The following is a 26,598-nucleotide window of genomic DNA, read 5'->3' on the forward strand; positions in this document are numbered from 1 at the left end:
TAATCCCAGCACTTTGGGAGGCCAAGGCAGGCGGATCACGAGGTCAGCATCCTGGCTAACACAGTGAAACCCCGTCACTACTAAAAACACAAAAAAAATTAGCCGGGCGTGGTGTTGGGCGCCTGTAGTCCCAGCTACGCGGGAGGCTGAGGCAGGAGAATGGTGTGAACCTGGGAGGCGGAGCTTGCAGTGAGCCGAGATTGCACCACTGCACTCCAGCCTGGGTGACAGTGCGAGCTTCCATCTCAAAAAAAAAAAAAAAAAAAAAAAAAAAAAAAAAAAAAGGAAAGAAAAAGATAAGATCATTGATGACTTGGTTTTGTATTTCTAATGTATTTGAATTTTTCTTCATTTGCTATATCTAAATGCTACTATTGATTCTCACAAATCAATAGATCTAGGACCTCTGTTCAACTCATAGGATAATTCTCAAACATCACACTACTCCAGGGAACCCCGGTTATTAAGAGGGATACTGAATTTTTGTGGTGTATTTGAAGGAATCAACTATCAGTGACCCTACAAATGTCTATTGCCAGAATCTACAGCAATAGAAAATTACTCACACCCAGGTAATAATCAAAATCAATGACAATTTTTGTCCACTCACCTTTAATGAAGAATCAAATTGTCTTCTCTCAAATTACTTGTACTTTACCTTTGGATAGGAAGAATTTATGGGCTTTCTCTTCTTTTTGGCATGTTCCTTAAGGAAGTAGTATATAATTCATTCAGATCATTATGCCCAAATCATCTGAGACACTTTAAAAAGCTGCCTTCATATGCATGCTAATTATCTAGCCCATCATACGTTTTCCCAGTGAGAATATATAAGGAACAATTCAAGAAAACAACATAAATGCTCTGAACAGATCCATGGGGACCTATGCGATGTAAAAGTACTCACTCAATTACACTGAGTCAGCAATTAAAGTAACAATGAAAATACTTCATCACGCTGCCATCAGCTTCAGCCTAGTAAAACTGGAATAGTTCCAAAGTCATGATGAAATTGTGACATATTATCATAAAAGATTCATTATTTGAATTTATTATTTATCTAAAAGTACATCATAGGCACTGAGTTAAAGATATATCTTTTAACCCTTACATGTGAGTTAGATAATACTATTCCTATGTTCAGAACACACCAATCTCAGACAAACTATGTAATTTTCCAGAAGTCACATACTTGATAACTAGAATATTTGAAATTAGAACCTAATCTCTAAATAAGTGACATATATACTTAGTCCTTTCATATGGCAAGCCCATGCTAACAACTGTCCTATTTTCTGAGATAACACCACTGTTGGATAAAGTTTAGTACAACCTTATCAAGAGTAAGATCTACTGAAGATAGTACACACCATCTCCCATGGTGTGAAAGTTGCAAATGTAAGATATATTAACCATGATCAATTAAGCCCTCTTTCTCTTTTCATTCCAACTTCTAGAACATCACATTGCAACTAATATCAGAGTGCCTTGACATTTCTGCAAGCATCTTAAGATCTAGCTAAAGAAGGATTGAGTTAATAATATTTTATTTGATGTTCAGTGGATATGTTTGTGTCATTCAAAGACCATGATATTTATCACTGAATAATGCTATCTATTCTGATTTAAGAATGTCTTCTGGCCAGGCACGGTGGCTTATGCCTGTAATCCCAACACTTTGGGAGGCCAAGGCGGGTGGATCATGCGGTCAGGAGATCAAGACCATCCTGGCCAATATAGTGAAACCCTGTCTCTACTAAAATACAAAAAATTAGCCAGGCATGGTGGTGGATGCCTGTAGTCCCAGCTACTTGGGAAGCTGAGGCAGGAGAATCTCTTGAACCTGGGAGGCGGTGGCTGTGGTGAGCCGAGATCGCACCACTGCACTCTAGCCTGGTGACAGAGCAAGACTCCCTCTCAAACAAACAAACAAAGAGAATATCTTCTAAGGATACTTTGTTATGGAACATGGTGCACAGTCTATGACCCATCTTTCTACAGTGCATATATAGATGAAATCATCACATCACATTGTACTCCATAAATATATAGAGTTATTGTCAATTAAAATAAATATATACATTGAGAAACATATAGCAAAATATGAATCTAAATTGCACACTTTGATTAGTCTTAAACATGTATTTTGCTTATGTCTTTATTCAACAACAAAGAAAGTTTCCTTATGCTTTATATCCTCATAGGCCACTTGCATTAAAATACAAATCTCCATAAGGAGATTTTCCTCATACCCTAATCCCAAACAACATCCCCCCATCCTTGGGTAACTGAATCCTATCCCTGGATTTATTTTGTCTTTTTCTGTTTTTTAATTTCAAATACAAAGAATCACACCATATATACTCCTTATCTGGCTTCCTTCACTCAATATATTGTTTTTGAAATTCATTTATATTGTGCATTTTTGCTGCATATTTCATTGATTATGTATCACTGCTAAAGCTGTCATGTTCTGACACCTCCATGAATGAGTTGTTGCTGTTAACCTTCTCTGGAGTCATTGCCACGGCCACCTTCTTGATTGTGATCATTTCCTACATCTTCATTGCTTTTGCTATCCTAAGGATCTGCTCAGCATCAGGCAGACAGAAAGCCTTCTCCACCTGTGCCTCTAACCTAACTGCTATGGCCATATTCTACGGTACCTTAAGCTTTAGCTACATTCAGCCAAGCTCCCAGTATTCTGTGGAACAGGAGAAAGTAGTTTCTGTGTTCTATACACTAGTGATTCCCATGTTAAACCCATTGATATACAGTCTGAGAAACAAGGATGTAAAGCAGGCAGTGAAAAGAGCTATAGACATAAAACATTTCTCATGTTAATTTCAAGTCACTGTCAGTGCTACACTATTCTACCAGAATTCATATAAATTCAATAAATTCTAGAGTGTCTGTGTTTTCATAAATCATTGTAAACTAAACTTTTATAATTCACATGAGAAAACAAGACTGAAAAGTTGATGTGACTTGGTGAATTGACTTAATTTTAGGAAAAAAAAAAAAGCCTTAAAACTGAGCTTTCCTGAGATGTTAGGACCATGATATTTGAATGAACCAATCAATCCAAGAATTGCATATATATTGTCTAATGTTTGAAAAACTGAATATATTTGTGTGTATAGACTTTTAGAAATATAAAAACTTTTTTCTAAGAATTTAAATAATTAATGTACTCAAAAGATTAAGATAATTCTGTGCTTGATATTTGCTTGTATCTTTAGAAAATCTCCATATTAACTAAATAGACAGATATGATTCCAATTAAAATTTTCTAATTTTCAGGTATTTACCTAAATTTTTCTTCTTAGACACTCATGACCTAGCAACAGAAGATGGGTTGTATATAACCTTATTATAATTCTCAGTTTGTAATAATAAACTGTTCCTAAAGTATCCAGCTAGATGTATGTATGAAATAATTCCATTTTGGTGTAAGTCCAATTCTGCACCCTTCTCATCCATCTTTTCCTTTAAGAATCTCCCTTACGTTCTTTCAAGATTAAAAAAATCAGCAATCGTCAAATCACATGATAGATGTTAATGTTTGCCTATAGGTTCAATTCTGTAATGATGCATTAGTTGATTGTATTACTTCACAAATTTCCATCGTTTTATGAATGCTATCTGTTACCAAAAAGTTCTGTGAATAATATTGGATCAATTTTGCAAATTCAAATGTAGTACATCCTGTTTTTTGCATTCTGGAGCCTGCATTAACTACTGAGATCATAGAACACAACCTCAGGTATTTACAACTAAAGTTAAGTTTTTTTGAATATTTGAGCAATTTTATATTTACTGCTTCTTACTTAGCAAACCAGATGTCACTGTGCTAGCAAGAATGACATTTTGAAAAGCATAAGCAATTTTTATCTTTTTTATAAACAACAACAAAACTATTGTAAGAGTACTTTTTTGTATACATTTTGAAAAATATGGGGCATGGAAACAGATTGATTTAGAGTAAATGTGATGTTTATTCATGTATAATGTAAGTCACATTCTCTAAAATGCACTTTCAAATGGAATCATAATCTTCATTGTAATGCTTATAATAGTAGTTCATACCAATATGTTTCATGTAAGTAGAACTTTCATTTATATGGCAAGCATTATATTTATGCATATATTTTCACACTTATTCATATACAGAGAAGTGAATTTTTAAAAAGATGGTTGATAAAAGTAAATCAACTTGCCCCATCTCTCCTTAGGTAACCATTATTATATTTCTGATTCTACCACTTAGTAGGCTAGAGTTTTTCCTACATATATTCTGATGGAGTTTATACACATAAAAGTTAAAAACAGCCCCGGACATTCTAATGCATGTTATTATCTGTGGAAGCTTATATTTTTCTGTGTTCCATACAAATACTTATTTAATAATAAAACAATGCTCATGAGCCTGGCTATGTTTAAGCAATGAGTAGTGTGATGCAGAAATGTTATATCACACAAATAAATTTGCAAATAATCATTTTTAACACACCCACATCACACTATTAAACACAAATTTTATATTTTTCATAGGATTTGAAAACACTGGAAATACAGGTTTAGAAGATGAAGATTTAGGAAAATAAGTAAGAATTTCATTTGGCAGGTAAAATTTACCTGGCTCTGAGAATTGTTGAAACTTAATGAAAGAGTGTGTATTTTTTTTTTTTTTAACAATAAGAGTCACAGTGACATTCAAAGAAATCGTGGGTATAAATAGATGATTATTATCAAGGAGGTAGCTCTGTGCTCTTTCTTTTATTGATATTTAGGACTTGAAGTATTATTAATATAGCCATTTGTTGTTTGTAAGAGCTATAAATTCTTGATGTGGGATCTGCATTGGTTGCATATATTGCAAACATATTCTATTTCATGGTTTGTTTTATCTTTTTACTATTTATTTCCTCCTTTGACAACATTTTGTAATTTCAGCACTGTTGATTTGTTTATTTTTTAAAAAATTTTGGTTATTTCTACCCTTATTCTAATAAGACATGTATTATCATCAAAAAAGGTTATATACTTTCTCTTACTTGCCTATATGGACACTCAAATATATAAATGTCATTTATTGGAAAGACACACTGTTCATTGTCTTTATCAATTTTTTAGAAATTGGGAATTCATGTATATGTAAATTAAAGATACTGAGTCAATGCTATCTCTGCTACCTCATTGATCTATTTTTTTATTCCTGTGCCAATATTTAATTGTATTAAATACTCTACCTAATATACCTAGAAATCTAGAGAGGCTACTACTTCTCCCCTATTATTCTTTTTTTCAGAAGGATTTAGCTATTTTTTCTCCCTTGTATTTTCATCTAAATTTCACACTCAGTGCAGTAAATCTTAGTGGAAGATTTCCTTTTTTTTTTTTAATTTGAACTTTATTTTAGATACAAGGGGTACATGTTCAGTCTTGTTACATGAGAATGTAGTACCCAGGTACAGAGCATAGTACCTAATAGATAGTGTTTCAATCCACACGTGCCTCCCTTCCTCCCCACTCTAGTAGTCTGCAGTGTTTATTGTTCCCATGTTTATGTCTATGTTTGCTCAAAGTTTAGTCTCCACTTATCAGTTAGAAAGTGGTATTTGGTTTTCTGTTCCTGCATAATTTGCTTATGGTAATGGCCTTCAGATGCAACCATGTTGCTGCAAAGGAAATGATTTAATTCTTTTTTATGGCTGTGGTGTATATACACCACATTTTCTTTATCCAATCCACTATTGATAAACACCTAGGTTGATTCCATGTCTTTGCTATTGTGAATAGCATGCTGATGAACATATGAGTGCATGTGTCATTTTGGCAAAGTGGTCTGTTTTCTTTTGGGTATATACTCAGTTACGGGATTGCTGAATCAAATTGTAGCTCTGCTTTAAGTTCTTTGAAAAAAGCTGCATAGCTACAATTATCTGATCTTTGACAAGACCAACAAAAACAAGCAATGAGGAAAAGACTCCCTATTCAGTAAATGGTGCTGGGATAACTGGGTAGCCCTATGCAGAAGAATGAAACTGGACCCCCACTTTTCACCACATACAAAAATTAACTCAAGATAAATTAAAGACTTAAATGTAAGACCAAAAAACTATAAAAATACTAGAAGAAAACTTATGAAATACCCTTCTTGATATTGGTGTTGGCAAATAGTTTACGGTTAAATCCTCAAACGCAATTGCAGCAAAAGCAAAAATTGACAAGTGAGACCTAATTAAAACAAGGAGCTTTTGTCCAGCAAAATAAACTCTTAACAGTATAAACAAACAACCTACAGAATGGGAGAAAATATTTGCAAACTATTCATCTGACAAAATTCTAATATCCAGAATCTATAAGGAACTTAAACAAATCGACAAGCAAAAAGCAAATAATTCCATTTAAAAAATGGGCAAAGAATATGAACAGACACTTACCAAAGGAAGACACATACAGGCAGTCAATAAAAATATGAAAAAAATGCTCATCATCACTTATCATCAGAGAAATGCATCAAAACTCCAATGAGATATCATCTCACACCAGCCAGGATGGATATGCTTAAAAAGTGAAAAAACAACAGATACTGTTCAGGCTGCAGAGAAAAGGGAATGCTTAAGCACTGTTGATGGGAATGAATTAGTTCAGCCACTGTGGAAGTTTTCCCTTTCTAATACACTGGAGTGACTGAAACAGATTTCTCTCTTCATTTGACAGATTTCATCTCATTATGTAACTCTACATAACAGCACCAGAAATGTTTCACATGAAGAATCTGCCATATATTTGAGATTTCTGAAATTTCAAATTTGTCATTCTAGCACTGATCACCAAAGCTTTGCAGGTTTTTTCCCCTCCATGACAGACTCCCTACTTGGGCAAGCTTGATCCAGCAGCCTATTTCAGAATAGGTAAACAGTCCAGTGAATGAAAGATTGAAAATTCTCTATTATTTTCTAAAAGTTCTTTTAGTTTATGTAAAAATCATTGTTTTTACAGCTCACTGATGCTTCATGATATAATTTTTAAAAATCACACAGCTTTTTGTAGTCATTGATTGGACTGTTGCCCCACAGTAACGTGTTTACCTAAATGAATGCAGAAAACTAATTTAAAATATAGCTTTTAATTCCCCATTAAAATTCTTCCTTTTGTCTTGATTTTTTAAAAAAATATTATCTATGTTTTTTATTTTTGCAATCAATATTATTTATGTTTATTTTTAAGTTCAGGCATAAAAATTCTACAACACAGATTTTTGTTCATCCATTTTTAAAATCTTTTTTTATTTTCAGTCAAGATAAGTACTATCTCCTCTTACACTGGTTATTTATTATTACACCCTCCCTTTTAATTCTTCTTTTTTCTCAGTTTCACTTTTCTTTGGAAAACCATGAATCTTTTACCATAATTTAGCCACATACATGATATCTAAACTAGTAAATAAGTGACTGCTTCTCAAATATTTTCCAGCCCCCTCCAAAAGAGAGGTTACACGATGTGCCAAAACTTTAAATCGACTGTGTCTTTCTGATTGTCAAACCAGCAATCTTAGGTTACGTGTAAACTATATTATCCCTACATCTTCAGATGGAGCCTTCCATTTCTTAGTGAATAGGGCAGTTTTCTTCCCTCAGAGTAAATTTGTTAAAATCTTGCCTTTTACTCATCACAAGTTAGTTGTCACATCTTTCAGAATGGTCAGGTCATAGAAGTTTGCAGCCACTTGCAGATCAGAATCACCCCAAGATATCTCTCCAATTTAGTTGTATCTAGAATTAGTAATATTACGCACTCACATTTTAATTGGAGAATGCATGCTGGCATAGGGTTATCATTCTTCTGCTAATATTTCTCTGTGAATTATTTCAGCTTGATATCAATATAACCTTAGGAGTCCATGGTTTCCTAGCTGTGATTCTGGCTACATTTATAGGCTTCCAGGCGACCAATGATGGGTGGCCTTGCCTATGAATGTAATAGCTTCTACCCACATGGTCAGGGGATATGGGAAATTTAGTTTTTCTAAATCTTATGTCTCCTTTCTTTTCTTCTTTTATAAATTTTATTTTTAAAAATTGTGCTAGCAATATCAAGAGGGCAGTATTTTTTGCTAGCTTTCCCACTGCATGGCTTTTTCTTTTTTTTGTCTATCTACTTAGCCAATTTCACTAGATCATAGGTTTAGGTTTTCTTAGTTTTTACACTAGGTCAGTTATATAGTATATTGGTTATAGAAACTAATTGTCATTTCTCACCTACTTGGAAAACATAAGTTCATAAATTCCAAAATTATTTACAAAAAGCAAAACATTTTGTAAAGAAGAATTTCCTGGATATTGTCCTACTGGTAACATACCAAAGTATTTTTACAAGAAAATTTGCTAGAGTCAATATTTTTAATGCATCCCTGAAAAGGAAGGGAAAGAGTTACAGATCCCACTAATTTGTACAGATGCATGAAAATTTACAATTGTAATACTTAACTACTTACTTGAAACTTTAATTTTTATACATTGACTATCATGATCTCAACATTGTTGGTTAAAATCTCTGATATTAATATGGGTATGGTATTTTCTTTTATGCAATATTACTTAGTACAATTTTTTCACTCTTTATTTCTCAATTGTCACAAAATTTTAGTTTTTATATTTATTCATGGTTATTTTATAAGATGTATATGATGATTCAAATACCTGAAATTGTCATTGAACTAAATTCATATTTTTTTCTTCAGATTGGCAAGGGCTTACACAGACAAGAATATTTTTTTCTACAAAAATCTGGGAATGCTGTGGTCGTCATAGTAACTAGTTAATTGGAGATAATCTCCTTTGAAAATCATAGAAGTTTGCTTCTGTAGAATAGCAGGTGCTCTACTTGTGTTTATATTGGAGTCTCCAGTTTAACATTGTCAGACATATCTTCCATTCCAATACTGATTTTGTTTATGCTGCCATGGATCAAAAATCATATGTCCCTGTTCAGCTGAAAATGTGTTACGCTTGCTTTCTTCTGTTTATTTTGTTGGTTTTTGATGGTCTTCCTTCCTCATTCAATTCTGCAATACTGTGAAATCTACAGATTTTCTCTGACTAGACTTTCTCAGAGTGTTTATTCACTCATTGCTTAGAACATAACTAGTTCAATCAGCCTGTAATCCTGCTCTTTTTGGAGGAAGTATTATACTCTTTGCTTTTTTCTTTCCTTGACCTTTTGACAATATTTTTTTTCTGAACATTTTAAATAGATTTATTGTGTTAATTTGAAGACGTGCTTTCTTGTGTTGCAATTAGATGGTGAGTTTACATTTAACAGAATCTTCTCTGTGATAATCTTGGAAGGCTGTGTTGAAAAGGCATCCATTCATAGATTTCAATTTGCTTTTGTTAGATGTCCCACAATGTTTCCAGTGTAGACCACTGTGCATTATTTCTCATCTTGAGGTTGCTTCAGTTGTGCAGGAAGCAAAATCCAAAGTTCATTCCGTGTGAGGAAGGGCTGTGGTTGCTGATTTACAGGTAAGGTGTTTTCCTTACAACGTGCCAGAGCATGATGGCCAGGTTTATTTAAAATTTTTGCTGATAAGCAGATTTACCTAGCATTTACAATGATAATTCCAATGTTTCAAAAGTATTGGATTTATATTTGGGTTTCAATGGAATTTTGTGTTGTTTATGGACCCACAGGCTTAGCATCTATTTTGAACAAATTGAACCTCACTTAAAAAGGTTTGAAAATACTCCCAGGAGCATCATAGTGTAAACTTCATTTTTTTCTCCTGGTTTTCTGTTTTTTTTTCTTCCTCTGTGCACAAAAACAATTCCAATTATTTTTATGAATAAATCTACAAATGTCACAGCATCTTTTACTTTTATAGTTTGTATTTCAATGTACTCTTTAAAAAATATTTTTTGAGGGGAGTGCAGTTATATCTATAGGTTGGTGCAAAAGTAATCGGGGTTTTTGCTAATAGTTGTTTTTTTTCTCTTTCCTTTTTTTTTTTTTTTTTTTTTAATTCTTGCTCTGTCACCCAGGTTGGAGTGCAGTGGGGCGATCTCGGCCCACTGAAACCTCTGCCTCCCGGGTTCAAGCAATTCTCCTACCTCAGCCTCCCGAGTAACTGGGATTACAGGCGCCCAACACCACGCCCGGCTAATTTTTGTATTTTTAGTTGAGACGGGGTTTCACCATGTTGACCAGGGTGGTCTGGAACTCCTGGCCTCAAGTGATCGGCGCGTCTTGGCCTCCCAGAAGGCTGGGATTACAGGCGTGAGCCACCGCTCCTGGCCTTCTTTTGCTATCACTTTTAATGTGAAAAACTGAATCGCAGTTTTTAATTGCCGCTAAAAGTAATGGCAAAAACCACCATCTTCTTTTATTTTTTTTTTTTTGATGGAGTTTCACTCCTGTCGCCCCAGGCTGGAGTGCAATGGCGCGATCTCGGCTCACTGCAACTTCCGCCTCCCGGGTTCAAGCGAGTCTCCTACCTCCATCACTTTTGCACCAACCTAATAGCCTCCACTTGCTGGAAGAGGAAGTCTAACTATGTTTCCTTCCTTGTTTGTTATTGATAATCCATATTTTTCTAGTGCCTTACACAACGTATAGCTTGTCTTTGTCCCCCAGAAATATTTGTTAAAGAAATGAGACTATTGAAGCTAAATATCACATTCGATAGGAGTGATAAGTGGCCGTTCTATCTGCTATATGGAAGGCAGATTTAGACTCTCAACAGGAATATGTGGAGGTAGGAGGTGGGATGCTGCATCCTAAAAGTTTTTTAATAGGCTGGCTATTATCAAATTGGATTTCCTTATGCATTTTTGCCTTACACAGGGTAGTTGTAGTAATAGTTAATCTTAATAAAATGCTATGCAATTTAAGCACATTATTTAAAGTGTGACTATTTCTACTATTTTCTCATCCATGGCTTTAAGCCTTCTTTCACTTTTTGAACCTTTCTTTTTGTAATATTGCAAACCTCAGAGAATACCATTCCCATCGAGATATCTTGAGAAAGTCTCCTGAGAAAACAGGATGCAAAACAATGTGTAATTTTCTTGTTGTTGCTATGTTACTTTACATAGACTCTGAACTACAGGGACTCTGGCCTCATTTGATCACACGAAAATGCATATATACATTTATATATATGTATAGACTTCCACCTTCTTATAATTTGTTCTCATAAACAATTAAAGATGTATAATCATCGTTTCTTTGTTTCCATTATGTTCGTTCTATATTGAAACCTAGGTTTTATATGAATTATTTTTACTGAATGATCTTAAGTTAACTACCATTATAATATTGATCATTCCAAATCTCAGAAAAATGTATTAACTGATTGCATTTTTAAGTGAACAGTAAGAAAACGGAGATGGACATGAGCATTTTAAGCAAGCCCATCCCTTAAAAATTTTTCCGTCTTTGGTAAGTTTTATTCATTCATTTGAATATTTATTTTTTCATATTTAGCATTCATTCTGCAGGTAATTGAAATTTTCAGTTAGATAAAATCCTTAAGGTTTTGAATCTTAAATTTTCTGTAAGTTAACACTGTGCCTTATTATGTGATTCCATTTACAATATTTCCACCTAATTTTGCTGAAAGTTGTACACTTATACATTTTGATAGTTAATTTAATTTCTAATTTCTTCAAACATACTATTTTCTAAATTATACTTATAATTCATATCTATAAGTATTCCTCTTTTATTGAGAAAACTATCCAGCTGATATTCTAAGAGTGGTAGAAAAAAGAGCATATATGTTGTATAAAAATGCAGTTTTTAAATACTTAGGATTATTGTTTACAGTACTTATCCATATTGTCATATCTGTTGGAAATTACTAAAGATCATTTAGAAAATCATTAAAAAATATGCATTTTCACGTTATATTTAACAATGCTAGTTAGTGAATAACTTGAGATAAACATTTACTAAAATAAATAAATAAAAATAGTGCTTAAACATTGCAGAAATGCTGCATCAAAGAAATCAATTAGAAAGTTTTTAAAGCTTTACCTGATCACTGTGAATCAAAATATATTACACTAAGTGTCTATCACTGTTCTATCTATCTATCTGGTTATGCTTCATATACTTACGTAACTATCTAATTTGTTAATTGTTAAAGAAACAAAAATACTTCATTGTAATAAAGTATTTTTCAATACACTCCTTCAATACACTCAGGGATTCTAGAGAAGTAATTATAATTATATCTTGGATGAAATAAGTTAACTTGTCCAATTAAATAAAGCCAGTTATTGTCAACTATGTATTTTCACTTTTCACCATTGTTGTCTTTGAAATATTTTAATTAAAATTAATAAGGGGTATAAATTACACATAGACTGAATCAATATTTGTTTCTCATCATTTCTAAAACTACAATCCATTTAATAGGAAATAAGAGTGGGAGATAGTTGATTATGAAACAGGTGAATAGCTTTGAATAGGAGGTGCAGGTGTGTATTGTTCCAATTGAAATTACATTTTTAGAAAGTCTTAAATTGTCTAAACTACCTTTTATAGGATGAATAAGAGGAAGAAGTATCACAGAATATTTGGTGAGTATATATATTCATGTTCTAAATTATTGAGTTTGTTTTATTGCCTAAAATTATTTGAAGTCTCAGAAAAAAAAAAAAAAAAAAAAAACAGGAAGGCTCCATTTCATGCAATATGTGGGATTCTAGGTCCTCAATCTCAGAGTAAATGATTAGGGCTACTCTCCCACCATGATTGCAGGGAGGATTACCTAGAGTTAAGAATCCCCACTTCTTTTAGTAGGTGTCATTCAAGAGACAGGGTGTTATTTCATGAGTTTCAGAGTTTGGTGTTGCCACACCATGCCACCCATAGTCACAGAGGCCAGTCTCTGGCTCCCTGGCATTTTCCAATGTCATCACTGTGGGTCCCTGATCCACCTTACTTCATTATTGTGGCCACTTTGCTGTCTATAATAATGCAACTGTAGATTAATTCCCTCTATAAATAGAAAATACAGGCAATTTTAGAAAGTTTTCTTATTTACTCAAAAACAAACCAAAAAATTACCAGAAAGGAGTTTCATTGAATGGTAATTTAATATTCTAACAATATGTATTTTACATACTGTTCATTTAAATTATCACTAGTGTTTTATCAGTTTTGGTGGCACTTTGTTATGGAGCTAGACATTTCAGAGACAGATGCTGTGAGAAAAAATCATTTTTACACATCGATTTCTATGAGGTATAAGCACATAAAGTGTCACTGGAAAAAATATTAGAGACTGTCTAGCCTACTTGCTAAATTTATTGATGAAAATCCTCAGAATTCAAGAAAGAAGATTATTTACCTGAAGAACAACATCAGTAGTTGTCTGTATTTTATCCTTGTGCATGTGTATGTGTATAAAATATGTATCAATTTAAATACTTTATATATGTAATATATATGTATTTTCCCCCTGACAAATTATGAGTCTATCTTTTTTTCACAGTAGATTTTGTGAAAAAGAAAGAAACATATGGCTGATGATAATTTTACAGTTGTCACTGAGTTTATTCTTTTGGGATTGACAGATCATGCTGAACTAAAAGCTGTGCTTTTTGTGGTGTTCCTGGTGATTTACGCCATTACCTTGTTGAGGAATCTGGGCATGATCCTCTTAATCCAAATCACCTCCAAACTCCACACACCCATGTACTTTTTACTCAGCTGTCTTTCATTTGTGGATGCCTGCTATTCATCTGCAATTGCACCCAAAATGCTGGTGAACCTCCTGGTTGTGAAGGCAACAATTTCTTTCTCTGCTTGCATGGTACAGCATTTGTGTTTCGGAGTGTTCATCACCACAGAAGGCTTCTTACTGTCAGTGATGGCCTATGACCGCTATGTGGCCATTGTGAGTCCCTTGCTTTACACTGTAGCCATGTCTGATAGAAAGTGTGTGGAGCTTGTCACAGGATCATGGATAGGTGGAATAGTTAACACATTAATCCACACAATCAGCTTGAGGAGACTGTCCTTTTGTAGGCTAAATGCTGTCAGCCACTTCTTCTGTGACATTCCTTCACTGCTAAAGCTGTCATGTTCTGACACCTCCATGAATGAGTTGTTGCTGTTAACCTTCTCCGGAGTCATTGCCATGGCCACCTTCTTGACTGTGATCATTTCCTACATCTTCATTGCTTTTGCTAGCCTAAGGATCCACTCAGCATCAGGCAGACAGCAAGCCTTCTCCACCTGTGCCTCTCACCTGACTGCTGTGACCATATTCTATGGTACCTTAATCTTTAGCTACATTCAGCCAAGCTCCCAGTATTTTGTGGAACAAGAGAAAGTGGTTTCTATGTTCTATACGCTAGGGATTCCCATGTTAAACCTGTTGATACACAGTTTGAGAAACAAGGACGTAAAGGAGGCAGTGAAAAGGGCCATAGAAATGAAACATTTCCTCTGTTAATTTCAAGTCACTATTAATCCTACAACATTCTGTCATTCAGTTCTCACTTCCAAGAATTCCGTGAATGCCAAAGCTTCTCAAGACTTTACAGATATTCTCATTCTATATACTTTTGTTGCATTTCAGGAGGCAGCCAGAAGAGAAAACTTAATTCACATACCTGCAACACAAAAACAACAATCTATCACTTAGTTATGCTGATATTCTAGGTTATTCACGTAATAATCAATACATAGTACAGTATTACATCTGTTCTTTTCTGTTATTTGGGGTTACAAAATTATAATAATACTTGCACTTAAGGATATAAAAATAGGGTACTTTGTAGGAAAAAATAACTAGTCCTTGAATTTCCAAGAAAATAGATATAATTATACAACTGAAATGTGCCTTCATTGACTTATAATTTAAATATTTTAAACAGTGGCAGGCCCCTCATAGAAATAAACTGAAGAGATTATTTTCTCTCCAGCTCTTTCAAAAACATGTTTTTGTTAATCTCCTTCTCTATGATTTAAACTCTGAAGAGAGAGGGTAGCTATCCCTATGATTACTTCTGAGATTATAGCAAAAGCCTCATAAAATTTTAGCTTAAGATTTAAAAATTTTAATTGCATGAATAGAATAATATAGTCATTTTGAAGTATTTAAAATTAAAAACACATTTTATCTCTCTTTTTTGAATATTTTTTCTATCATTAAAGATCTAAAATAAAAAACTGCAAATAAGATAGTTAAAATTCCACAAATTTATCGTTTACAGAAATTTCATGGAATATATTAAATACTTAAAATCAGACTATGTAAGTTAAAACCTGTTCATTGACTCACTTCTGTAATTATCCATTCTAAGATTTGATAGTTTTCTTCCATTATGTAATGTTAACTTTTGCCATTAGCAAAAATTTGAGGAAATATTTGCATTAATATTAAATTAATTTGAATTAAGTGTATTTTTCTGTATTTTTGAACTCTACTATCATGATCAGAGGAAAGAATCTTGATACTTAAAGTTCATGAGACAGTTGAAGAAATAGCCAAGTAAATGTGTAGTTCCAGCTTTATAGTTGGCAAGTCAGACATATACAATTTGCTAATGAAAATTCATAAACAGAAAAAAATAGTTTTTTGAACTTATTCCTATATTGGAAAATCCAATTATAAAAGTGATTGTGCAAATAAATTTTAAAATGCTTATGAAATGAATATTGTTCACATTTAAGTATACGTGACAGTCATTCATGAGGGATATGGAGTTAATGCCACAAAATTACTTCTAACAGCAATAGTGATAACCATCATCACTATAATATTATTAATAAAACAATGACAATAAGCACACAGAATAAATAACTTCAGACTATGATATTGACAATTAAATATCATTGTGCACTGAAAGCCTCCCTATAATCCTGCTGTTAGTATGAAAAAAAGTATATATATATATAAAAGTATATATATATATAAAAGTATATATATATATATAAAAGTATATATATATATAAAAGTATATATATATATAAAAGTGTATATATATATACACACACACACACACACATATATATATATATACACACATATATATGGAATTAGACACTCAGGCAATAAACATCAATTAGCCCACTCTCTTTAGAAGTTTTTGATTTCTATTTTTGTGACTATTTTATCTTTGCTAATTATTGTATTTTGAATCATCAGCTCCCACTTTGCCTAATTCTGTGTTATTCATAAATAAGAAGAAACCCAAAGTTAATATGTGAGTTCCCTCCCTAGCTTCTTTTTTTCCTTTTTCTTCTTTTTCGAAATTATTTGAGATATTCTAGTTTCTTTGCCTTTCCATTTATATTTCAGAATTATCTTTTATGTTTCTCCTGATTTATTTTACCCCAGTTTAGCAGTTTTCAACATGAAGATACAGTACACTTTTTATTAGATTTATATCTAAATACTTCACATTTTTGTTTTATTTTAATACATTTTATTTTTCTTTAAACTTCCAATGTTTATTGCTTATATACAGAAATACAATGGAATTTAGTAAATTGCTCTTACATACTGTTACATTTCTGTACATAATATTTCTAGTTACTTTTGCAGATTCTTTTTCTGCATAAACAGTCCTATCATTTGCAAATAGAAACAACTCTACTTGTTTGTTTCAGATCTGGTTTTATAAATTTGTTTTTCTTACCTTATTGCATAGGCTGGGATCTCCATTATAGTATAAAATAGGTGTGGCAAGGACAAACAACGTTGCCTTTTTTCAGCTATTAGGAGGAATATGTCATTTCATGGTTAAATATGATGTTTACTGTAGGTTTTAGTATAGATATCCTTTATCTCTTCCTCAGCAAGTTCATTTCATTTTCCAGATTGCTGAGAATTCACTTGTATTTTATGCTATAAATTGATATTGCATCTCATCAAATAATGTTTCTGCATTGAGAAATTCAGGTATGCATTTTATTCTGTTGATATGAGCAATTACATTGATTTTTTTCAACTTTTATTTTATAATCAAGGGATATTTATTTAGGTTTGTTAGAAAACTATATTGATGATACTGAGGTTTAGAGTACAATTGAACTCATCACCCATGTAGTGAGTATAATACCCATTAGGTAGTTTTTCAGCCCTTGCTTCCGTTTCTCTCCCCACTCTAGTATTTTTCATATGTTTCTTGGTCAGTTATATGTCTTCCTTTGAAACGTATATGTTCATGTCCTCAAAGGCTGACGTATCACATTACCTGACTTCAGACTACAGACTGGAAGCTGAAGAAGCCAAACACCCAGAAATGCCAACAGGTGATCTCTCTGTCACACATACACAGCCCCCTGAATAAAAAGCAGCAAAAGGATTCAGTTCTCTCAAGATAAGGGGCCAGGAAAAGGGACACTTAGAAAGACAGTATTTTTAAACAATAGTGTATCTACTACAACTAAACATCATGGAAAAGCAAAACAAAACAACAGAAACGGTGGCCTTCATCCTCAACCACACAAGCAAAAGCCAAGGAGGGAGCTTAGACTTCCATCCTCACAAGGCTGGAATGACAGTTCCTAAAGCCCCTTCAGAATAATGTGAGAAAAGGCCACGCAGGGAGACAGGAGTTTCATATCTGCTTTCTGGTAATGATCCCTGCTTCCTAGACCCATAGTGTCAATGGAGACCAGAAATGAAGCCTGGAAGTCTACTTGGAGGCAGTAATGAGGCACCCTTCCCCTCTCTGTTAGAGTGGTATCAAATGAGGGCATTGCTCTGTGGCAATGAGACAATCCCCACTGCAGTGTTAGTAGAGACCATGTGAGATATTGGAAGCTCAGGTCTGTCCAGCTGTATGTGGGCTACCTCCCCCAATATCAATGAAGATCAGATGGAGAATCTTGTCTTCTACTTTCACCTGGTAGTAATGAGGCCGTTTCCACCTTCGTGTGTCAGATTGTTCTCAGAGAGACAGTTAAAACAGAATAAAATAATAAAATCTGGTGCCTCATAACATAGTACAAAAATGTCCAGGTTTCTGGTAAGTGAAAGAATTCAGACACATAGGTCCAGCATTTTACAATTACATTTATTTTAAAATGTCCATAATAAAATAATTCATAGAGACAGAATTGGTGGTTTCCTAGGTATGTGATGGGGCTTGTTGAGGGGAAGTTAGGACTAACTGGTAATGAGCATGAAGTTTCATTCTGGTTTATTGATATTGATCTAAAATTGATTGTTCTGATGGTTTCAAAGTGCGAAATATTAAAACCATTGACTTGTGCACTTTAAATGAGCAAATTATATGGCTTATAATTACATCTCAATAAAGGGATAAAATAAAATTAGCAACATAAAAATAATCAATTTATCTATTATTAGGTATGAAATCAAGAGATTATGTATAATCCACTCAGCAAGAGGCAGAATGCATTTTTTGTTCAATATGTAATAAATTTATTCATGGCTAGAAAATATCTAGAAATTAAATAACTTAAAAAATAAAACCTTGAAAGAATCTCTGTATGTTATTATTTGTAGGCAGATTACTTTGAAAATAAGTCCCTTGAATATATGTCAGCTGTGATGGATAAAGAGTAATTCCATGAAAAGGTGACCTTCTAAGTGCCAATATTTTCTGTGGCAGAAGAACAACAATATACATTTTGTCTACTCTGGGACTGGTTGATTTATATTGATGAGTGGTAATCTGATATTTTGAGCCACAAATTATATAAATAGATGGATAGATTGGTTTTTATATTTTGCTATTATTTTATGTATTATGTCATGTTTATTTGTTAGAATTTAAAAATAGCATACCAAATGTTTTAATTCTTATCATTAAGGCTCTTATAAAAATAACACTAACTTTAAATGCAGTGTAAACTTCTGCTCAAATATAACACAGTGGGGAATGAGAGAAATACTACATACCCTTGTGAGGGGTTTTCTTTTCCTTGCTCTAAAGTGTACCACTCACATGTACTGGAAATTTGCATGTAGCTCTTCCTGTTTCTTGATTTTTGAAAACTCCCTCCCTCGTAGGATTCCAGTGGTTTACTCTTTGCCCAGGGAATCTAAGGATTTGTCAATTTGTCATTCCACCCACCCTTTCTACTCTGGTGGTACTTTTCTATAATTAAAAAAAATCATATGCAGATACAATTGAACAATTGGGAATATAAAGACTGTGGCAAATCATTAAGTATTTTAATGAATCACAAATCATTTCTTATTCTAAAGATAATAAAACTTAATTTTCATACCCAACTCCTCAATTAATTCTTTATTGTTTACACGAACTCTTTCAATGAGAAACTACATAGATTGATTAGTAACACTATTTTCTTGAGGTTGATAAATATTTCTGAGTTGCATATTTTTCCTCTTGATCTGTCTAATCACTGTGGTGAGTAACTTTTGTATGTTTACATTAATCATAACAAAATCCAATATACTGTACATCTGTGAGGAAGGAGGTGTTCTTCCCGTCTTATTCTATGCATATGTCACACCTTAGAATAAAACGGTGCCCATCCTTCAAAATTGCATGGAGTGTTTCTACTATTCTCCATTGTATCATTTAGAAATGCTTCTCCTATGCATTTAACAGATTGCTCAACAAATGATGGCTCAAGGCAGATGGTTTAAATTTTTTAAGTGACGTGAGGTTGGAGACTGATGACTGTCATTTTTTTTATTAGTTAAGTAGCTCAACAATTTCAGAGGCAGTATGTTTTTCATTGTCTTGTCCTTAAATTAACTTTCCGAAATTGATGAAACTCACATAAAATTGCTCAGGTCCACGAAGCAGAAGTTGATGTCAAATAAATACTTCCTCCACACACTTCTCTTTTTCATGGAAGGGACATCTGTTTTTTACATTATTCTGAGCTGACTTCCTCCTGCATTAGCAATAGTCAATTGTTTTTGTTTTAATTTCTAAATTCTGATCTTCCTAAATCATCTTTTTTCAAATGTGGATGAACTTCCTAGGACAGAAATCATTGATTAAAATTGATACACCTTTGTTTATTTCTTTTTCAGCCTGTTCTTGATTACTTAATGCTAATTATTGCTCCTATCCCCCCCAAAATTTATTACTAATCCACACAAATTATACTCTGCAACCATTTCATGATGGTTTCTATTTGACAAAGTCAAGCATTGATAATCCACTGATTAGCTTATATTTCTGTGTGTTGATGTAGTGATTGATTATTGAATTAATATTCTATGCTTGAAGTGGTTATGATCTTTATTCATTTATCATATTTAAATATTTCATTGTCAAGTAAAATTACATAAAATCAAGATGTACAATGTGATGATTTGCTATACATATATATTGTGTACTGATTACACAGTCAAATTAATTAACATATCCATCACCACTCTTAGTTTCCTCTTTTCTTTTTTGAGTGTTTATGTGTATGTAGCAAAGATACTTAAAATGTGCTTTCTTATCAAATTCAGGTAAACAATACAGTATTATTAATTATAGAAATCATAGAGCCCCAGAACATGTACATCTTATAACTGATCTCTCTGCTATTTCTCTTCTTTCAATCTGACACCTGCCAAAGTGGAGCTTTGCTCTATGTTGTCTCAGGATGACAGCAACAAAGGCAAAAATGACATTAAGGGACAATATAGGGTAGTTGTTGAGAGCATGAAATCTGGATTTGATTACCTGGCTTTGAAACCTATTTGTACTACCTAATACATTGGTGAATTCTGACAATTTATTTACCCTTTCTAAACCTTTATTTTTATCATCTGAAAAATGGAACTTTTAGTAAAACTTAGCTCACAGAACTATTGTGATGGCTAAATTAAGACATAGAGAATGCCATTTGTTGTTGGTGTTCTATTTTCCCTTTTTTCTGTTCTTTTTATTGTGGACTTAAAAACTTTCTTTGTTTATTAGAGTTGCTATAACAAATTACCATAAAATGGGTGGTTCCTAAACAATAGAAATTTACTTAATACAATTCTAGAGGCTGGGAAGTCCAAGATCAAGGTGCCAGTAGATTTGGTGTCTAGTAAGGTCTTCCTCTCTGGATCATAGATGGTGTCTTCTCCCTGTGTCTTCATATAGTGGAAGGAGGTAAGAAGTTCCCTGAGTCCTCTCTCACAAGGACACTAATCTCATTCATGAGAATCTACTCTCATGATCTCGTTTCTCCCAAAGGTCCTACCTTCTAATACCATCACCTTGGGGGTTAGGATTTCAACATATACATTTGGGAAGAATACAACATTCAGAACAACTCTTTTTGTTGTGGTGGTGGTGGTTGTTATTTTAGCGTTTGTTTTAGGGCATAGATATTTTACTTGTAATAGTTTACTTTCAAGTGTAATTATATCCCTTCACATATAAAATAAGAACTTTACAGTATTTAACCACTCCTGCCATCTCCTTTATAACAGCTTTGTTGTATATTTTTATTACTCTTAAACAAATAATTATCTTTCACATAGATTTAAATTATTGAAATCACTATGTAGTCACTTCTGGTGCTGTTCATTCTTTTGTCTAGAATCACATTTCAATCTGGTATTTTTTTCCCTTCTGATTGATGGGCTTCATTTATCATTTCTTTTAGTGCAAGTTTAATCATGAAGGGTTCTTTCAGTGTTGATATGTCTGAAATAACTTTATTTCACATTCCTTTTCAAAATATGTATTCCCTGGGTAAAGAATCCTAGGTGACAGTTATTCTGTTTCAGTGTTTTGATGCTGTTGCTCTGCTGTATCTTGACTTGCAATGTTTTTGAGGAGAAGCTAAATGAACAATGATGTTACATGAAATAAAATGTTATTATTTTTCTTATTCCTCTGTATACAAAGTGTTTGTGTTTTGACTGCTTAAGGTTTTTATTTATCACTTGCTGTGTGAAATTGTGTTTGTTTTTATTTTGTTTTGTTTTGTTTTCTCTCCACTTTTGTTTGGGGTTCAGGGCTACATGTGCTGGTTTGTTACATGGGTAATTTGAGTATCACTGAAGTTTGGTATACAAGTGATCCCATCACCCAGGTAGTGAACATAGCACCCAATATGTAGCTTTTCAACCCTTGCACCTTGCTCTCTCTTCTCCTCTAGTGTACCCCAGTGCCCAGTGTCTATCATTCCCACCCATCTTTATGTCTATTTGAACACAATCTTTAGTTCTCACTTATAAGTGACAACATGTATTATTTGATTTCCTGTTCCTGTGTTAATATGCTTAGAATAATGGCCTTCAGCTGCATCCACATTACTGCAAAAGACATGATTTTCTTCTTTTTATGGCTATACAATATTCCACATATGTATAGAATATTTCATATAGTATTCCATATATATTGTATTAGCCATGTAGTATTCCACATTGTAATTCAAAGTGCTATATATATTTGTACATTCCATATATAGTCTGTATATATATATATAGATATATATTTGTACATATATATAGCACATTGGATTACAATGTGTCTTCAGTTAGTTTTCTACATATTGTTTGTACCTGGGATTGTTTAATCTTCTTGAATCTGAGGGTTTTTAATTTTTAACAATTGGAAAACTTTCACCTATAATTTATTTAAATAATTTTAATGGCCCTCTTCTTTGAGGAGTTTAATTACATGTATATTTGGCTTCTTGAAGTTGTTCAGCTTATTGTTCTCTGTTTTTAAAAAAATATTTTGATTCTCTGTGTTTCATTTGGGATATTTTCTATTGGTATGTCTACAGGTTCACTTGTTTTTTTTCTTCTATGATGTCTAATCTGCTATGAATACAATCCCACGTACTTTTCATCTTTTACATTGTACATCTCTCTGTGGAAATTCAATATTTTGTAGTGTCCTCTGTGTTCCTACTTACCTTTTTGAAAATATGACATGCACTTATAAAACTTTTAATGCCCTTGTTTGATAATTCTAACACCCATGTCAGTTCTTGGTTAGTTTCAATTGATTGGTTATTCTGTTCATTAAGGATCATGATTTCCTGATTCTTTGTATGCCTGACAATTATTCAATGTATCCCACATATTACCAATTGTGCCTTGGTGTTTGCTGGATAATTTTGTATTTTATGAATACTATTAAGCTTTGTTGTGGGATACAATTAGTTGAAAACAATTTAATCCTTTTAGATATTACTTTTATTATTTATCAGGTGAGTCCAGGTCAGTAATTGGTCTAAGGCTGGTTATTTTCTTATACTGGAATAAGATCTTGAATACTGTACATATAGCCTCAGGAATTATGAGTTTTTCTAGTCTGTATGTAATAAATTGTTACAATCCCTGCCTTTATTTGAGTGCTGGACACTCCTCTTTATTTTTAGGATGATTGTTTCTTCAATTATGTGTGGTTTCATTTTGCATATTCTCATCAGTCATCTCTTGAATAATTAAGAATTATTATTTGCAAAGATACAATGTCCATTGTGCAGATCTCTTATCTTTGGTACTCTGTCCTGCAAACCCTGGCTACCAGCAGACTCTCAACTTGTCTTTTAAACTCAGGAATTCTGAGCTTCACTTGGGTTTGCCCTTCATGCAGTCCGGTCTGGTTAGTCTCATAAGACAGAAAAGGGAAGATACCACAGGATTCAACTGCTTTGTTTTCTGTCTCTCAGGGGGAACTCTCCTTAGTTGTCTGACATCTGTGTCATGAAAGCTACTGTTTCATATATTTTGTCTTTCATTTTCTTTTTCTTGTTTAAATGGGAAGTTAAAATCTCATCTCAATTACTCCATATTATTTGGTAGCAGAAGAGAATATTCAGGATATATTTAGGTGAGCTCTGTAAATATTTTTTCATTCTTTTTCTTTATCATTAATCTTCATCTTTAAGTCTCTTACCTCTAGATTGATACAAAGATTTTTTTTTTTAATTCAAAGTTCTGAACACTTCATATCCCCTGAATCTTCCACCCCAGTCAATGCCTCTGTTCACTTCTGAGTGTATCATAATTAACCCTCCACAGGACTTTCAACTTTCCATTCTTAGTATTCTGCAACCTCTAACTTGTGCAGCAGTCATAGCTATCCATTACCCAAAGATAGATCAGAACACTTGTTAGCTAAAAATCCCACAGTGGCTTATTTATCAAGATAAAATGCAAGATTTATAAAGGCCTGTATAGTTTTACTTGGTTGAGTTCTACATTACAAATCTTCAACGTATCTTCTATTTCTTAATTTTATTTTATGGTCCAATCACGTTTTGACTGTTGCTTTTCAAAATAAAAGTCATATTATTTTTTAAAAACTGCTATGCTAATAGTTCTCTCACCCTGGAATAGCTTTCCCATAAGTATTCACACAGTCTACTTACTCAGTTCTTCAGGTGTTTGTTTAAATATTATCTCATCAGAGGAATCCCATGAAAGTCTCAATTAAAAAATTAATTATTGTCCTGGCTACTTGCTTTATTTAAAGTAATGGCAAAAACCACAGTTACTTTTGCACCAACCTAATATATTCATTTTACTCAATACTGTCAATCATACAAAATAACTCACTTGTCATTCCACTCATTTTCTATTGGCTTCATAAAGAGAGAAATGTTGGGCCAGGTGCAGTGGCTCACTCCTGTAATCCCAGCACTTTGGGAGGCCGAGGAGGGCAGATCATGAGGTCAGGAGATGGAGACCATCCTGGCCAACATGGTGAAACCCCGTCTCTACTAAAAATACAAAAGTTAGCTGGGAGTGGTGGCACGTGCCTGTAATCTCAGCTACTTGGGAGGCTGAGGCAGGAGAATCGCTTGAACCCGGGAGGTGGAGGTTGCAGTGAGCCGAGATCGTGCCACTGCACTCCAGCCTGGCGATATAGCGAGACTCCATCTCAAAAAATAAAAATAAAAAATAAAAAATAAAAAAAGAGAAATGTTGGTTAACTTGACAATATATGTTTACTGATCATATGAATCTATTTATACATCTGCCTTTCAGTGTACTAGGCACTCCGAATAAAATACTGATAAAATATACAGTCCCTAGCTTTAATTTTAAAAAGTTAATGGAAAACAATTTCTATGTGAGAACACATAGGAAAGGCACCTAAGCTGAACTTAAAACTGAATATTGATTAATAGTTAAAGTATGAGTAGGAATTAGTCATCTGTTAGTGATAGATTTTTATTTAAAGGTAATTAATAAAATTATCTATTTCTGTGCTTATCACACACTGATTCTTGCTCATCACATGGAGGCAACAATACAAATGTAAAGCAATATTAGTTTGAGTATCTATTTGTTATTGCATAATTTATTGTTATCATAACCTACAATGAATTTTAAATAGATGATTTGCACATATTTTCCAGGTTCTACGTAGAGCATTTTTTATCTCTTTATTCCTCAAACTGTAGATCATTGGATTCAACATAGGTGTTATCAAAGTATAAAATAAAGAGGCCATTTTGTCAATATCAAGTGAATGACTGGATTTGGGGTGAACATACATAAAGAAGAAGGTGCCATAAAATACAGTTATCACTGTCAGGTGAGTTCCACAGGTGGAGAAGGCCTTGTACCTGCCTTCTGCAGAATTCATCCTGAGGACGGCGACAAGGATCAGAATGTAAGACACAAGGACTATCAGAAGAGATGAAATCAAATTAAAAGCTGAAAAGATTAAAATTATCAATTTAATGTCTTCTGTGTCTGAACAGAGCAAAGATATCAATGGCAGACTATCACAGTAGAAATGCTTGATGATGTTATAGCCACAAAATGATGAGGTAAACATTTTTGTGACTGTCAGCAAAGTCAAAAAGACACTGTAGAGATAAGGTATTGCCACTAGAATTTGACATGCCCTTTGTGACATGATGATCATATAGAGCAGAGGGTTACAAATGGCCACATAGCGTTCATAGGCCATTGCTGACAGAATGAAAATTTCACTACTGATAAATATACTGAAGAAAGTGAGTTGGGTAGCACACTAATTATAGGAGATTATATGTTGATCTACAACAAAGTTTACTAGCATTTTGGGTCCCACTGCTGTTGAATAACCAAGATCAATGAAAGCCAGATGCCTTAGGAAAAAGTACATGGGTGTTTGAAGCCTAGAATCTATCTTTGTGAGGATGATCAAGCCTAAGTTACCCACCACTGACAACATGTATACAATGAGGGAGAACCCAAATAATGGAGCCTGCAGCTCAGAGATGTCCGTGATTCCCATTAGAATGAATTCATTCACTACTGTCAGATTGTGTTTGTCCATTCAAGTAATTCAGGGAACCTATATTGGGAATAAATATAAAAATAATTATTAACTTCTAAGAAATATGACAAAAATATGTATATGTATATATACATGTGTATATATACAAGTGTATATGTGTGTGTATATATATACAGAAGTATATATATGTGTATATATGTATATATGTGTATAAACATACATATACATAAACATAAATATGGAGAAAATTATATGTACATAATTATTTTATATGTATATATATAAAAACATAATTTCGTATCTCCAACTTTAGTATTTTTCCATAAATCTTGAAGGTTGAGCAAATGAAACTTTCTTTTCTGTAAATTGATAATATCATCACACACAGTATACAATTATTTAATTGTCCCTTAAGAATATTTTAACACAG

At 33.2% G+C, this 26,598-nt stretch overlaps 1 protein-coding gene and 2 pseudogenes across 1 annotated transcript; 2 read left to right on the top strand and 1 right to left on the bottom strand.

Moving 5' to 3' along the window:
* Positions 2,421–2,842, top strand: OR5J7P (olfactory receptor family 5 subfamily J member 7 pseudogene; annotated as a pseudogene).
* On the top strand, positions 13,538–14,476 carry OR5J2 (olfactory receptor family 5 subfamily J member 2). The gene has a single exon (NM_001005492.1). It carries the CDS (start codon positions 13,538–13,540, stop codon positions 14,474–14,476), a length of 939 nt encoding a protein of 312 aa, NP_001005492.1.
* OR8V1P (olfactory receptor family 8 subfamily V member 1 pseudogene) lies at positions 25,251–26,171 on the bottom strand (annotated as a pseudogene).

Source organism: Homo sapiens, chromosome 11, assembly GCF_000001405.40.
Source record: "Homo sapiens chromosome 11, GRCh38.p14 Primary Assembly".
Taxonomy (NCBI): domain Eukaryota; kingdom Metazoa; phylum Chordata; class Mammalia; order Primates; family Hominidae; genus Homo; species Homo sapiens.